The sequence below is a fragment of the Homo sapiens genome, chromosome 4 (assembly GCF_000001405.40).
Source record: "Homo sapiens chromosome 4, GRCh38.p14 Primary Assembly".
Lineage (NCBI taxonomy): Eukaryota > Metazoa > Chordata > Mammalia > Primates > Hominidae > Homo > Homo sapiens.
Window position 1 is genome coordinate 142,571,245 of NC_000004.12, and position 17,169 is coordinate 142,588,413.

At 35.9% G+C, this 17,169-nt stretch overlaps 1 protein-coding gene and 1 long non-coding RNA gene across 15 annotated transcripts in view, besides 1 other annotated feature; one reads left to right on the top strand and one right to left on the bottom strand.

Moving 5' to 3' along the window:
- Positions 1–17,169, bottom strand: part of INPP4B (inositol polyphosphate-4-phosphatase type II B) — an 823,376-nt gene that overhangs the window by 548,085 nt on the left and 258,122 nt on the right. The window lies entirely within an intron of this gene.
- Positions 1–17,169, top strand: part of LOC101927613 (uncharacterized) — a 100,791-nt gene that overhangs the window by 9,337 nt on the left and 74,285 nt on the right. For all 3 annotated transcript variants that reach the window (XR_007058285.1, XR_001741432.2, XR_007058284.1), the window contains exon 2: positions 12,208–12,379. This is a non-coding gene — a long non-coding RNA (uncharacterized LOC101927613). The remainder of the gene's footprint in view (positions 1–12,207; positions 12,380–17,169) is intronic.
- Positions 3,274–3,373: an enhancer, noted in NCBI's record as "active region_21939". NCBI's record gives its function as "activates an Ori minimal core promoter by ATAC-STARR-seq in GM12878 lymphoblastoid cells {active_cell/tissue: GM12878}" and the evidence as "EXISTENCE:reporter gene assay evidence [ECO:0000049][PMID:35858748]".

Consider the following 17,169-nt stretch of genomic DNA (forward strand, 5'->3'; position numbering starts at 1 on the left):
CACACCTTGACTTACAACCCCAGCAACCTAGTTATCCTGAGCAATTTAAAAAAATGTTTTAAATTTGTGTAAAGATGTAAAACTTGATGTTTTGATATACATGTATACAGTGAAATGATTACTGTAGTCAAGCAAATTAACCTATCCATTAACTTCCATTTAATTTGGTTATATGAAAGAAGTCAGCTAATCATTATTCACATATACTGATTAACATTTATCCTTAAAGTAGGCCAGTAATGATTATATATAATCATAAATGCCGGAGAAACTTTGTTCTGAGTTTCACTTAATAACAATACTTTATTCTTACTACATGTCCTCAGTCTTTATAAATTCTTGCATAAGCAGCATAATTATCTCCTTGCAATAAAAAAGCAAAAAATAATTTTATTTCACATCTATCTATAGACTGGAAACATTGTCCCAAAAAATGAAAAAGTAAGTTTTGCTAACAATTATAGAATTAAATAAAATGATATTTTGAGGGTTTTGGCAAAGAATGGCAAAGAGTCAATTTGAATAAGATTATTCCAAAAGTAAACAGAGCACAAGTTATTTATTTTTTTTTGAGACCCATATTTTAGCCAATTGGTATTTTTGAAGGCTATATTGTTATTCAGTATTTAGCAGTGCCTGGTATATAGAAAGCACTCAGTAAATATTTGCAAATTAAATAAATCAGCGAATAAATGAATAAATTGCTTTTTTGGTTTGTACCAGGGTTACTAAAATAAGTTTGTGAATATTTCGCCATTTTTTTCCATTCTTCAGTTGCATATTGCTGCTCCATAGACAGCCAATGCTAAAGATTCATTTCTTGGATTGTCAGTAGTAGGTCTCATTACTTTTATCTTCTCTTTCCAAAGCCGTTTGTGTCTTTGAAGATTGCTTGTCACACTGCTCTGCTGTTGAATTCAATTAGGTCTATAAAGCTCTGTATCACTGGCATGTAAAACTATGAAATTCTGCTCAACAGCTAAAGTGCAAGGATATGATTTTACCTCAAGTTTCCTGAGAAGTGCTGAGCATTGGCACATTTGTGTCACCCACAGAAAGAACCTGAGAACAAGGTGCACCTGCAGAGAGAGCTGTGGGGTATCTACATTCCTGAATGCTTCTCCAGTAAGAAGTGAGAAGTTACACTGACACTGGTGTAGTGGTCTCTTAAGGATACTGAAGAGTTGGTGGGAAGTTGGAAAGACACCAAATACAACCACAACATTGCTTCTAACAACCACAACACTATATTTTGAAAAAAGCACAAATCAGTGAGAAATTTGCATGTTATTATTTATAGAAAATGACTTTAATTCTCAGTTTGTAGTAGGATTGGAATGGATAGAGAGAAATGAATAAGGATTTAGTGATCCGAGATTTTTCAGAAAACGGAATTTTTTATCTGGGTGAGAATGCTCCCAGATAAAAGATAATAAGTTAATGATGTCTTATTAACTCTTTGATTAGATCCTTACACTCTCAGTACCCCTCTTTAATTGTACAATGTGAGAAAAACAATAATTATCTTCCATGTTTATGAGTACCATAATTGAGATTCAGTAAGTATTCAATGAATAGCTAACAAGCATTAAATAGGTACTCAATAGATGTGAATACATATACATATATATGCTTTTATATATTATATATAAATATACAGATGTATAAATACATAAATATATATCCTTCTCTCCCCACAATTATCTTGTATGTATTACAATAGTTCTTTATAGAACTACCTGAGACTGGGTAATTTATGAAGAAGAGAGGTTAAATTGACTCATATTTCCACAGGCTACAGGAAGCATGGCTGGGAGACCTCAGGAAACTTATAATCATGGCAGAGGGGTGAAGGGGAAGCAAGGACATCTTACCATGGTGGAGCAGGGGAGAGAGAGAGAGCAAGAGCTAAGGGGGAAAGTGCCACATACCTTTAAACAACCAGATCTCGCTATCACAAGAACAGCAAGGGAGAAATCCGCCCCCATGATCCATTCACTTCCCACCGGGTCACTTACCCAACACTGGACATGAGACTTGGGTGGGGACACAGAGCCAAGCCACATCACAGCACTTTGTGCTACCCAGTTCCTTTTTTCTTTTAAAAAACCGTTCCTTCTCTTCCATACTCAAGGACCCACAACCATTTAGGTCTTGCATCCATATCAGAGACATAAAATAGTACAGCAGGAAGAGGAGAATTTTGTTCTTGAGTCAGAATATCATGGTTTTCTAGCTCAAAGAAGAAAATTCAAAAAATCAATCATATACCTGGCTCAGACATAAGTGATCTCTATTGCCTGTTTCTAAATCTTACTGTGCTAAAAAAGAGTATCTGTCAGCTTCCCACCCTCAAATTCCATTTTTAAAAACCTCCATCTATTACCTTTCGATTGGGCCATATTAGTTTGGTAAAAGGATGCAGTTGCGTGGTGGGAAATTAGCACATCATTACAGGTTCCCTGTGCTAAATCACACATTGACCAAGTTTAGCTTAAGCACAGTCACGAAAAACACCACTGAACACATTCCGCAATATTGGATTACTGCCACCATTGCCTGTTTTCCTGACTTTAATCTCTTCCTTATCAAATCTACCTTGCATTCTATTGACAGTTTACATTCTCCAATTTTCTCATATCTCTCTACTTAAAACTTCTTGGCTACTTATGTACCTATTTATTTGCATAGAATTCTATAATATACAAATTACTTTATTATATATATTCTTTTACTTGATTGCCTGAAATAAACTGATGGGGAAATATGATGTTATCCATGACAGAAGTCAAAGGGTAAAAAGTACCATTGCTAAAATTCTAACTCAAACCATTTAACTCTTGGACTGTTGCTTTCATCAATACCAAAAGCCTTAATAAGACTTTCAAGACATTACAAAATTTGGACTCACCATTTCCAACATTATATCCAGCTGTTTCCAGCTAAGTTTTCCACTCCAGTAAAGCTAGTCTTCCACAGTTACAAACTCATGGAGGGAACTGGTTTCCTCCTCTGTACTCTGCAATCTCAACATGGTGTATTCTTCAGCCTCCTTATTCTGTTTCCTGACCTAAAATCTCTGACAATCCTCTATCTGCTTAAGGTCCAATTAAAATCCCTCACTCCCTCCAAGCTTCCTCACACTGCCACAGACCGTAATGGTCTCTCTTCCTTCAGAATTCTGTGCAGTTATTTTCTCTCTCATGTGGGCATTATGACTAGGACCTACTAACATTAAATGCTGTCTTGAGTCACTTTCAGCCTTACCCTGGCCAGAGAAAGTTACTTGAAGCTTACAGAGTGAGTTTCTCCGGAAACACCATGTTCTCACGTCACTTTCTGTTATGCTTTCACTGGGGGACAGAAAATTACCAATGTGTCAACAGAATACTTTTCAAAATTGTCAGAATTGAACACAAATATCTTCTCCTCAATAAAGTTTCCCTGACTCTTTTAGTAAGAATTCAGCAAGTTTTCTCATATCGCCATAATAACTAGTGCATGCTTCTTATACAGCACTTACTTCAACATGCTAGCATACCTTTGTTTGTTTGTTTATACAGTGGTGCCCTGCCTTCAGCTGCACAGCTCCCTAAAGGGAAGGCAGGTAACACTCGTTGTGACCCACTATGAATGAAGCTTCACACAGGCAGGCTTCAGAGCATGTTTGTTATGTGACTGGGTGAGGAAATGCCTGGATGGATGAATGAATGAAAATGTAGGTTTAGTTGAAACCAGAACAGTTTCCCTAAATAACATTTCGCTAGCACTGAGAGTCTCGAGCTATCCAACAAGAGCACTGTGAATCCTTAAACTAGCTGAACTGATTTTCAATTCTTATAAGGATCGAAAGAAGGAAAATTTACTGTGAAATATGGTTGACCTTAGGAAATGTTAACCACGTTATTTGGCTCTCAGTTCAGTCCCAAATCCAATTTGACCCATAGTGCCGTGAAATCATGATGAGAGGCCAAACAAAAGGAAAAAAGAAAAAAAAAGGGGAAATGAAGAACAAAAGTTTCCATTGGACAGAAAGAATAGATGGACTCACTCAAGAAAAAAATCAAAACAAGAGTCATAGAAATGTTTTATCAAACTACGGAGGATTTTGAAGACCTGTTGTCATTTTACAGATGAGAAGACTGAGGTCCAGGGTGGGTTGTGAGTTGACAAAGATTAATTAGCTAATTCTATAAACCTTCTACTTTCTCCACCATACCTTACTATCTGTCTCATATATTTCTGTTGCTGCTATATCATGAATGTAAAAGCTCTACAAGGAAAAATAATAATGTAAACACCTCTGAGTTCCTCACTTCTCATCAACACGATGAAATAATCAGAATAGGTAATTCACAAAGCCTTCGTCCGTATTAAATGAGATAATGAGATGAGTGTAAAGTGCTTAGGACAGGGATGGCATACTGGAAACACTCAATAAATATTACTATTATTGGCTAGTATCATCTGCTTCAATCTCATGCCCATGTCAATACAGATCTTCCTGAAAAGCTGACATGAAACCAGAAGTAGTACAAATATGACATAAACAATGCTATGTCACAAAAAAGAAGCTATGATAATTACACTCTACCATTACATCCTTTTTACCCTCTGGTTACTGTAAATATCACCTACCTAGTTACTCAAGTAACTCAAGGTTCTGTGTGCAAAACCACATATTGTCTGTGCTCAGGTTACATTTAAGAGATTGAATTCCCACCTGTGCCCTTTCATAGCTGTTACAAATACACCACGTTGTAGAGTCCACGTTCAAATGTGTTTTAACTAGCCTAGATATCGTTATTGATTTCCCAATAGCCTACGAGTAACACAGCTGCATTTCCACTCAATATCTACCTGGGGCTGATTCATTTAATTAGTAAATATTTATTGAGCTTCTAATATGCACCAAATATTTACATGATGCTGGGATATGGCAGTGAAAAAAGCAGGGAAACATCCCTGATCTAGTAGAATTGCATTCTAGTAGCAGAACGTTCCAGAATTGTAAAGGGCAGAAATAAAAGTGTTTATTCCTTGGAAATGGTGTCTACTAAGCCCAAAGTACAACTTCACTTACATTTCAAGAAAAGGTATTTTTTAAATAAAAAGTTGCCTTTTACCTCAACATTATGCAATCTACCTGGTAAGATCATAGATATGTCTTTCTACATTATGACCAATTTTTTTTTCCTAACATGTTTTTTAACTTCCTTATCTGCACCATGGATTCCACTTGAAAATAATATATAAAAAAATATAGTATGAGAAATATCTATTGACAATTGGAGATAATAATTACAGATAACTTAAAGTAGAAATACCAAAGCCATAAAAGAAATTCATATAATCATATCTCCAAGGGGGAAAAAAAGCACCAGTCATTTATAAGGCCCTTTCAGTTACACCTTTTAAACCAAAAGCACACCTGTAGTTTGCAATGACACTCAAGGATTTGCACTACAACTTATCATCTGATCCCTCTACACCCACTACGATACAAATATCAAATCCAAATCTAGAATGTTCAAATACAAGGAACAGTTTAAACATAACAGTATTTAACAAACCTTCTAGATATCCACAGAATGTGCTATATTTTCCACGGTAAGGTTTATGCTATTTGTAAACATTTTACTTAAAAAGCTATAAAGAAACTAGTAACTTGCAATAAGAGTGATGTGTCCATGTACACATGCACATAGGCATGTAAACATAAATATGTATATACGTTTATTATAAATCTTACAGATACAAAGGTATCACATAATTTACAAGTAATAAAGTATCCAATAGTCTATTAAATTTCATATAGTCACTGATTTCTTAATAATGCTTTCCTAGATTTTTGCCTATTCTTGTATCCATACCAACCTATAACTACAATTCAACTATATGTACATTTTTTGTGTTGCTAAACCCTTTTACCTTTAATCTGCATGATCAACATATTGTTCACCATTTTCTTAAACCTAGATAATCAAGAAAACAGTAAGTCAAGCCTTGATGTGTAGTGTTCAGTGTCTGTGGTGAAAATCCTCCTATCATGTCCAATTTCAAGCCTACCAACATGAGATCACTGATGACAGAATTAGGAAGAGATACTCAGTAAGATACCATTGTATGTATTTTCTGCAAAAAAATTTAGTTCATTTTTTATGTCTAGTTCTATGCTATTCTCTATGGACAACATACAATCACATAACACAGTTCCTGTCCTAGAAGAGTTTTTCTGTCTATTAGGGGAAATATAAATGGGAAGAGAAAGAAGAAAATAATTCATGGAGTCGTGGATTGAGACTGGTTGTATTGTGAAAGACATTTTGCTATATGAAAGTCAGCAAAAAGTCCCAGCCTTATCATTTACCAGTTATAAAAACGTACATGTTATTTTAGCCTTCAGTGCTAGCTTTTCTCATATGTAAAAGGGGCATAATATATGTATCCATTTTTAGAATTGAGTTTGCTTTTGTGCGTCATATAGAATAGTGCCTTGAACTTAATAAATGCTGGCTTTTTCTCTCTTATTCTGATTGGAAATCACCAATTTTTGGCTGTTGGTCAGCGGATGCCCTCAGCTGCTAGAGGTCATCTGCAGTTCCTTTTTACATGGGTTCCCTAACATGGCTGTTTACTTTCTCAAAACTAGCAAAAGAGATGCCAGCAAGATGGATGCTATCATCTCATGCAACATAAACACATATTACTTAACATGTTACACTCATGTAACCATGTGAGTCCTGTCCTTCTGCCAATTTCTGTTGGTTGGAAGAAAGTCACAGGTTCTACTCACAATCTAGGAGAGGGAAAAACCACACAAAGGTGCAAATACCGGAGCTGAGGATTATGGGAGCCTTCTGAGAAGTTTGTCTGCCATATACATAATGATGTTTATTTTGTGAATGACACAAAAATTGAAGATGTGAGGGCATCAGGCTGAGATTGGCTGATGAATTCATCTCATCTTCATCACAGAAAATCTTGTCAACAAGATGGATACACACACGCTGTGGTCTTTCTTCCTTGAGTGATGCTTAAACCCGTAATGATGAGATTTGCCTCGTGACTATCTTATTTTTCTATGAATGTCCAACTTTTCTCTGATTGTTAGATGCTGTATTAGTCTGCTAGGGCTGCCTAACACAATATCAAATATGGGATGACTTAACAGAAATTTATCCTCTCATAGTTCTGGACGCTAGAAGTCCAAAATCAAGGAGTTGGCAGGTTGGTTTTCTCCTGAGACCTCTCTCCTTGGCTTATAGATGGCTGTCTTCTTCATGTATCTTCACATGGTATTTCCTCTGTGAGCACAGACATCCCTGGTCTCTCTTTGTGTGTTCAAATTTCCTCTTCTTATAAGGACACGAGTCAGATTGGATTAGGGGCCACACTGATGGCTTCATTTTAACTTAATCACCTCTTTCAACCCTTATCTCCAAATATAGTCATCTTCTAAGGTACTGGGGGTTAGGGATTTAATATATGAATGGGGGGACATATTTCAGCCCTTAACAAATGCTGTCCTTTAGAAATAATACAACACGAATGAGCTTACAATTGGACCTCACTTTACTGCTACAACTTTTTAAAGTGATTTAACCATCTTGACTGTGATCTATTACATTTTCATGTAAATTTTAGTCTCAGAGAGAAATTATAGTCCTCTTAAATTTAAGTTCCCAGGGAATCTGTTACTGTGGTCTCTTGTAACTAAAAAGTGAATATGTTTTATTGCCTATTTCTACCAAAAAAGACAAACACACATACAAACCATAACCACAATTTTGCTAAACCTAACATGTTAAATATTGTATTGAACATCTGCGTTCATTTATTTAATAGAATAGAGTTCCTAAAACAAAGTCTACATGTTCTCTACTTTCATACAGCCAACATTTAAATGGGGGAAGTAGGGAGGGAAGCAAGTGTTAAATAGGTAAACAAATAAATGCATATCTCATTTGTAATGTGAGTTATAAAAAGTGATAAATGCTGTGAAGGAGATAATGTCAGTGGATTAAGGGGAGAAGAAACTTGTTTTATACAGAGTGGTCAAAGATGGCCTTTCAGAGTTAGAAATATCTCATTCAAAGCATAAGAAAGAGACAAGTGTGCAAAGAAGGAAAGAAGAGTGGTTCCGAATCAAACTATGATAGTTAATTTTATGTGTCAACTTGACTAAGCCATGGAGTGCCCAGATATTTAGTTAAATATTATTCTGGGTGTTTCTATACAGCTGGCTTTTGATGAGATTAACATTTAAATTGGTAGGCTTAGTAAAGCAGATTGCCCTTTGTAATGTGAGTGGGCCTCATCTAATCAGTTGAGGAAGTGAATAGAATAAAATGTTAGACCCTCCCTCAAGTAATGGAGGATTCTTTCTGCCTGACTGCCTCTGAATGGGACATTGGCTTTTTCTCCCCTTCAGACATGAATGGAAACATGTTTCTTCCTGGGTCTCGTGACTGCCAGCCTTCAGACTAGAATTAAACTCTTAGCTCTCTTGTGTCTCCTGCTTGCTGACTCACTCAGATAATCGTGGGACTTGCCAGACTCCAAATCACATGAGCCAATTCCTTATAATAAATTAGATAGATTGGATGAATGGATAGATAGATAGATAGGTAGGTAGATAGATAGATAGATAGATAGATAGATAGATAGATAGATAGATAGATAGATAGATATCCTATTGCTTCTGTTTCTCTGGGAAACTCTAATACATAGAAACCAGCAAATGCAGAGACCCCCAAGGGAAGATACGCAGACTTCGCTCTATTTGAGGACTTGAAAATATGGTACAGAGGCAATGGGGTGGAGGGAGCTGTGGAATGAAAATAGTCCAGCTCTTTTTGATGCCATCTAGTAGCTGACACATAGAGGAATTACCCAGGAGAGCATTGTGGTTAAGAAAGTAGGCCCCAGGACTAGAAGACTGGGTGGGGAGAAAATACTTGGGTTCAAATCCCATCTTTGCCACTTACTAGTTGTGCTAGCTAAGATTCAATTTTCTAACTTCAAAAGCAGCAAAGGGTTATTGCATTTGTAGATTACATGAGTTAAACAATGTTAGGTACTTAGTATCTGTCACATTGTGCTCAGCAAATATTAGCAGTCTTAACATGAAACAACCCAACACACAATTTTCTCTCTTTATGTTACTTCCTGTTTTAAACATGCATCTGAAGAGATAATTCTAATAGTTAAATTTTTCTTAGGAATCTCTAATTAAGAGATATAGTTAATTTGAGAGAACTGAGAATTAAAGACTTCACACGACAGCTGTGGTGAAAATCTAGGTGTTAGTTCTACTCAGAAAAATGAACCCAACACAGGTTACAAAGAACGTGTTTATGTGGTCCATTTTTGGTGTTCAAATATTACAAGAAGACAAAATATGTATTGAAAATCAGATTTTCTCATTAGCTTCACCTCCACCCCCAAAATGCCTGAGACATTTTTGAAGACTTAGAAAAGGCAGAATCTATTCTATTTTACTGGATAAAGTTAAACCTGACAGAGGGAGATACATTAAATAAATTGGGTCAAAATCATTTAATCCACTTCCCACACAATTTCAGCTTCTGTAGTAGATTGCAAGGTGCTGTTTCATAACTCAACAGGCTTGATACATGCATTGTTATATGGAACTATATCTTATTACATGAACTCTGGCCCAGGTGCAGGACATGTCCTAATTGTACAATATGTATAGGATTTATCCTTAGAGCAAAGTGTAACTTAGAACTCTTCTCTCACTTTGTCTTTGTGAGATTTCTGGAAGAAATATGTCAGAAATACATGTGGACTTATTTCTTGAAGGGGCAAAAGAGTGCCATCTTTTGTCATTATTTGGGGGTATAAAGAAAAGGACCAAAAATAACATAGCAGAGAAAAATGCATCAGGTTAAAAAAATATACTTTTGTTTACTCTTTGCAGAAAGGATATAAGATCCAGAAGGACAAAAATAAGTACATATTTTATATTTCTCAAAAAGCTTTAGAGGCTGTTTCTCCAAGTTTTGTGCTATACAAGAAAAGCACTCAAGTATTTCTACACAGCTGTTATCTCTCAGATCCAGCTTCCCAAGTCCTATTGGAAACCAAGGGCAAGCAAACAAACTACCCAAGTTACTGTCAAATTAATAGGTTATTGATTGATATACTAGCTTTCAAATCATCAAGGTCAGTGGACAACAATTATTCATGAACTTTGGAAATAGATAGAAGTTCCATTTCTATCTATTAGAAATAGATAGAAGTTCCATTTCTATCTATTAGAAATAGATAGAAGTTCCATTTCTATCTATTAGAAATAGATAGAAGTTCCATTTCTATCTATTAGAAATAGATAGAAGTTCCATTTCTATCTATTAGAAATAGATAGAAGTTCCATTTCTATTAGAAATAGATAGAAGTTCTATTCTTTCTATTATCATTATTTCCAATAATTCATTTTCCTTCAGATTACCTGAAACAGAGCACCACAACTATTCTAAATTGAGCATCAGTATAGGCATATCATTTTGCATATGAGATTATCCCAGAGACCTGTAATGATAAGACTCCTATACCATCTGATCCTGAATTCACAGGGGCAGGGAATGGGGCTGTAGATGCTATTTAGAAAGTACAAGAGGTAATGGCTGGCATGAGAGAGGCTCACAATCTTGTTCAATTGTGTTACATGGAAGAAAATTAATCACAGCGTGGAAAAAAACCTACTTAAAAAATATATATGTGCTACAACTGTGCATTGTAGGAGCCAGCAACTGCTGTATTAGCTAGCAATTTGGCATGCACATGCTGTACATGCTGCTTCTCTTCCCAAACACATTACACCTGCTGCTGCCAATTTGTTCTTACTGTAAAAACCCAAGTGGTCTTGAACACCTTCTCCACTCATTTCCCTAATCTGCTGAAAACATAATCATCTAATGGATACAAAAAAAAAAAAATCTACTCACAAATGGCTATAGGTTGTAAAAAAGTAAATGTTACTAAAGTATAAATTAGTTTTCAAAGGTCCAAGAGTGGACCTGGAATTTGTATCCTACATTTATTAAAGCTGTCAAGTGAAGCCACAAAAATATATAAGAGAAAGGAGCATAGGCAGTTTTATTTTTCCTCTACCTAGGTTCTGTTCAAGTGGGTGGTAAAAACCCAGGTAACTAGAGGTCTATGAAACTTTCAGTAATATGCTTGAACAATATTTTCTCATGTGTGTGGGAGAAGTTGGGCAGAAAAGATGCAAATTGAAATTTATGTCACCTGGAACTCAAGATGTTCCAGAAAGAATTCAATGACTCATGAAGGGGATGGTGCTAGCTATGAATAGCAGCTTAATCAATCTATAAAGAAAATGGTCTAACCAAAGAGGAAAGGAGGTCTTTTGTAAAAACCTTGCAATAACGAGTTTGGTGGGTGTGAAATCAAACTCTCATGAAATGGGCATGGGCCAGGCCACTCACTGGAAGCACAGTGCAGCTTCCCCATCTGGCATTTTCCACACTTGCTGATCTGTGGCTGCTAAATTCAAGTCAGAAACAAACAACTGAACAACTGCCCCCATAAGTTCCCTATAAAACCAAAATGATTAATACAGTCCCTATGAGCATGTGGTAACACACTGAAAGTTTGGCATTTTGCTTACTGCATGTCCTGTTATTGATGCTCAACCAATGTATAATTTTGTCTAACCAAAAATTAATGACAATTTATATTGAGTTTTATATATGAAATGCAGAGAATGCATTGCTAAGACTGAGTCTCACCTTTACTAGTTTATTACCTGTGTGACCTCAAGGAAATCCGAACTCTGAACCCCAGTTTCTTTGTCATAAAAATGGATATAAGAATAACATTGGATCTCTTACACCCAGGGATCAAATAAAATACATGTGTATCCCCAGTGTTGCTAGTCATACCAATTTTACATTTCAAATGGGGTCAAATTTATCTTTAGGTCAAAACTACAGTAACTTTGAGACCTTACCTGCCTACCCAAGAAAATAGTCCCTGTCACAGATGCTGTCAACTATGTTTTGAGAGTCTAGAAAAGGGACTTTACCAACTGCAGTTATTCTCCCTTTTCTTTCCTGCCCCACTTACCTCTCCTGCTGGCTAAATCCCGCTAGGAAAAGGTAGCCTTGCCCGCACTGTTGCAGCAATTATTTTGAGCTTTCTCTCTCTTTCCATAAGGTATCAACCCAGGCCATGGAGCTGAATGGAGAAGAAATGCCTTCCATCCCTTCCAACCATTTGGCTTCTCCAGTCCCTCACCTCAAGCAAACCTCATCAAGGTTTTCCGATTTCCAGACCCAGGTCCTGAGCAACTATGTAAATGCAAACAAACACTGGTGATGACTGTAAGGTGGGTGCAATATACAAACAGCGTGTGAAGCTGAAATGCCTGTTTATGTGTGGATGCACTCATTTACTCAATGAATATTTAATTTAACAAGTATATTGAACTACCTACATGTGTAGAGTGGAATCAAGAAACAATATTACTTGGCTTATAAAGTAACTTTCAATTCTACTTTTTCTGGGGTAATCCTTTCTTTCCCCAAATTATATCTCAGAAAGTTCCCATAGCCTTTTCCATTTTTTTTCTGGTATTAACAGTGGCATTATTAGATATTAAATAATTAATTTAATTTAATGATTAAATAATTCTATTCCAATCAAAATTAAAACTTCAATCTCTCAGTAAGTTTAAATCTTCTCTTCATCCCTCTCCAGCTCTCGCCTCTCAGCCTTAGAAACCTATGGGGGAAAAGGAGGGTATAGGTTCTGTCCTTGGCCCTTCTTATTCTATATGCCCTGTACTCTCCTTTTATAACAGGGAACAAGTATAAAGGAAAAGAGAATATGAGTTTTTTTTTCTTTTCTTTACAACAACATTTTTATAAATATATCTTCTTATTTTAGAGCAGTTCTAGATAGTCAGAATAATTGTTAAGATAGTAAAGAGAGTTCCCATATATCCCATGGCCAGTTTCTAGTCTTATCAACATATTTCATTCATATGGCTCATATGTTATAATTAGGAACATTATTATCTACATTGATGAACATTGATACATTATTATTATCTAAAGTTCAGACTTTATGCAGATTTTCTTAGTTCATTTTTCTGTTTTACGATTCCATCCCACACACCTTCTTTCAATTAGACATTGTATCTCCTTGGGATCCTCTTGTCTCTGACTTTCTCAGACTTTTCCAGTTTTCTACGACAAGTTTTAGGACTGGTCAATTATTTTGTAGAGTGTCTCTCAATTGAGATTTGTCTGATGTTTTTCTCATAATTAAACCAGGATTTGGGGAGGAAGTCCACAGAAGTGGAGTATCATTCTCATCACATCATGTCAAAGGTACATATTATCTACATATGACATATCACTATTGATTTGACCTTAATCACCTGGATAAGGCACTTTTTGTCTGGTTTCTCTACTCTAAAGTTATCCTTCTTTTCTCTTTTCCCTATGGTAGTTTTTTGGGGAAAAAAAAAGTCAGTAAGTGCAGACCATATTTAAGAGTGGGAGTTATGTTCCACCTCCTTGAGGGCAGAGTATCTACAGAAATTATTTAGAATTTTGCTATATGAGAGACTTAGCTACTCTCCCACGTTTATTTATTCAGTCATTTACTCATAACTGTATAGAATCATGGGTACTTATTTTAAACTTTGAGTTATAAGCCAATTACTTCATTTTGTTGCTAAAATTCTTCCAGCTTTGACCACTGAAAATTCTTTCAGTTGGCTCCTGGACCCCTTTGACACACCCCTAGCACTGTGTGTGTGGTGGTGGGGGAGGAATGAAGGGATGGGATTGCTGTTGTTGTTGTGTGATATTGGTAGTGTTATTACTTTCTCACTTTCTGGAAGTAGGAGATGCTTAAGGCCTATTTTGTGCATTCACTGTCTTAGCCCTAGACTCCAGCTAAATTCAGTTGTTCTTGGTTCCTTTCACTCAAGAATGATGTTAGAAAACAAGATCTTTGTTTTGTTTTTTAGTTATTTAATACTGCCTATGATTCTATCTTGGCTGTCAAATGCTCACTTTTTGGAAGATGCTCTTTCTTCTTTATGGAGTGCTTTTATGATTTATTCAGAGAAGTGCCTATTGGAAATCTACTACCACACATTCCTAGCACAGTTGATGTTCTCTTGGCTTAACACCTACACCTCCCCTTTTAGATATTGTTTCTGGTGGGACAGCCCACACAAACTCTCTCTGTGGGATCATCCAGGACAGCAAATCTCTTGTCTGAGGCATTTTCAAAGCTATGCAAGCCCACAGGACAAGTAGTCATATCCACTGTCATATATTCTTGCTCAACTGTTGGAGGAAGTCCAGCATGTGCCCCTCCTCTTGCTTCGCTCTCAGGAAAAGTTCCAGAAAGCTGCTCACAGTTAGATTTTACTACATGTAAATCAAGCAGTGGTCCATGTGTCCTCCATACTCTAGGGCCATGAGTTGTTTCTTTGAAGTATCTCTTTCCATGACTTGAGTTAGGAGGTAGAGAGTATAAGAGATTAGAGACAATATTATGACTATCCTCAAAAAAAATTACACTAAACACTTTATTATTATTATTATTATTATTATTATTATACTTTAAGTTCTGGGGTACATGTGCACAACGGGCAGGTTTGTTTCATAGGTGTACGTGTGCCATGTTGGTTTGCTGCACCCTTCAACTCGTCATTTACATTAGGTATTAGGAGAAATAACTAAACACTTTTCTACAGAATCCTTAAATTGGGCCGGGAGTGGTGGCTCATGCCTGTAATCCCATCACCTTGAGAGGCCAAGGCAGGCAGATTGCTTGAACTCAGGTGTTGGAGACCAGCCTGGGCAACAAGACAAAATGCTGTCTCCACTAAAAATGCAAAAATTAGCTGGGCATAATGGCTTCCGGACCTGTGGTCCCATCTACTCAGGAGGCTAATGCAGGGAAATTGTTTGAGCCCAGGGAGCAGAGTTTGTACTGAGCCAAGATCGCTCACCACTGCACTCCAGCCTGGTCGACAGAGCTAGACCCTGTCTCAAAAAAACAAAACAACAAAAACAACAACAACAACGACAACAACAACAAAATAGAATCCCTAAGTCTCCTTGTGTACAACCCAGAGGCAAGAGAGAGACAAAGGGTCTCAGAACCTATTTGGAACCATATATTTTCCAAGTCCTGGATAAATGAACTAACAACACTCTGTAAAAGTGGTAGATTCTTGCCTTCTCCATTATTCCCAACAGCATTTTGAAAACAGGTAAAGGCTCACATTTTAACATTCTGTTTCATTAACAAGCACCTGCAACACACAAGGCTAACAGTTAGGTGCTGGGGATTATAAACGGAGAATAACACACAGGCTAGTGGTAGTAAGTATTGCTAGTAAGGAAGAAGTTTCAGTATTTTTAAGTTATAGAGATTAATATATAATACTGAGAAAGTATATAGAAGAGGCATTTATTTTACCTTGTGAGGAGGAAGGAGAGAATTAATGAAAGGGGAAGGCAAGGAAGACTTCTGAGGAGTGATATTTAGGGTGATATCTGAAGAATGTATTTGAACTAGCCAGGAAAGAGGCAAGTGAGTGTTACAAGTAAAGAAATAGCATGTACAAAAGCCTGAAAGTCAAGGAGGGCAGTGCTTGTTAGTAAGACTACAAATTCTGAAATATGGTGGAAGTGTAGGATGTGAGAAGAGGTATATTGAGAACTGAGGCCAGAGAGCATATGGGACCTTGAATGCTATTTTCAAAATGGGGAGGCTTTGATGGGAATCACATGGTAAACTGTGAATAAGTTTATGGATATATTTGTGTTGAGTTGGTGGAATCTTTTTCCACTATGAAATAACTGATTTTTTAAATAGAAGTAAACTAACCACAGGGAACACAGAGGGTTATCCTGTAATGGCCAGTGGGCAGTAAGGACAGAAAATGAGAGAAAGAAAGAAGATAACACCCCATCCATTTTTAAGAGGTCATTTTTTTTATATCACTGGTTTCCATAACACCTACCATTTTTGGTGGTTGTGATTAGGTATATATTTATGATGTTTGATCTTACCTGGGTTGTAGTGATTTTAAAATTGTGCTGAAAAAGAATGCCCTTTTATAAATGGGTTTTACTATCTGAAAAGTCTTCTATTTAAAAAATTGAATCAATAATTAATAACCTTCTGAAAAAAAAGTACCAGTTCCAGATTAGCTCATTTGTGAATGCTACAAAACATTAAAAGAAGAAATGATACCAATTCTTTTTTAAGAAAAATTTTTGTGAGTAAATAGTATGTGTATATACTTATGGGTTACATGAGATATTTTGATACATGCATGCAATGCATAATAATCACATCAGGGTAAATTGGATGTCCATCACCTCAAGCATTTAACCTTTGCATTACAAACAATCCTATTATACTCTTTTAGTTATTTTTAAATGTACAATTAAATTATTTTGACTCCAGTCCCCCTGTTGTGCTATCAAATATTAGATCTTATTCATTCTTAACCATCCTTTCCAGAAAGTAGAATCAGAAAGAACACTTCCTCTTATTCTATTATGACAGAATTACTTTAATATAAAAACTAGATAGAGACACTAGAAGAAAGGTAAAGCATAGACCAATATCTGTCATAAATATAAATGCAAAAATGCTCAACAAAAATATATAGAATATCATATCTAACTATGTATGAAAAAGTGATATTTATTTCAGTTATGCAAGTCTGGGTCAACATATGAAAATAAATGTAATTCACTACCTGAACAGGCAAAAATAAGAAAAACGATATGATTTTATCAAATACAGAAAAAGCATTTTTATAAAATTCAACATGTATTCAAAATAAAAACTCTCAGCAGAGTAGTAACAGAGAAGAATTTATTTAACTTATCTACAAACAACCTTCAGTTAACATTATATTTAATGATAAGAAACTAGATACTTTTCCTCTAAAATCAGGGAAAAGGCAAGAATATCCTCTTACCCATTCCTATTCAACTTCATAATGGAATTCCTAGACAGTTAAGGTAGAAAATGGAAATAAAATGTACACAAATGTAAAGAGAAGAAATAAATTTGTCTTTTGTTTTTGTTGTAAATGACATGACTTATATGTAGAAAATACTAAAGAAC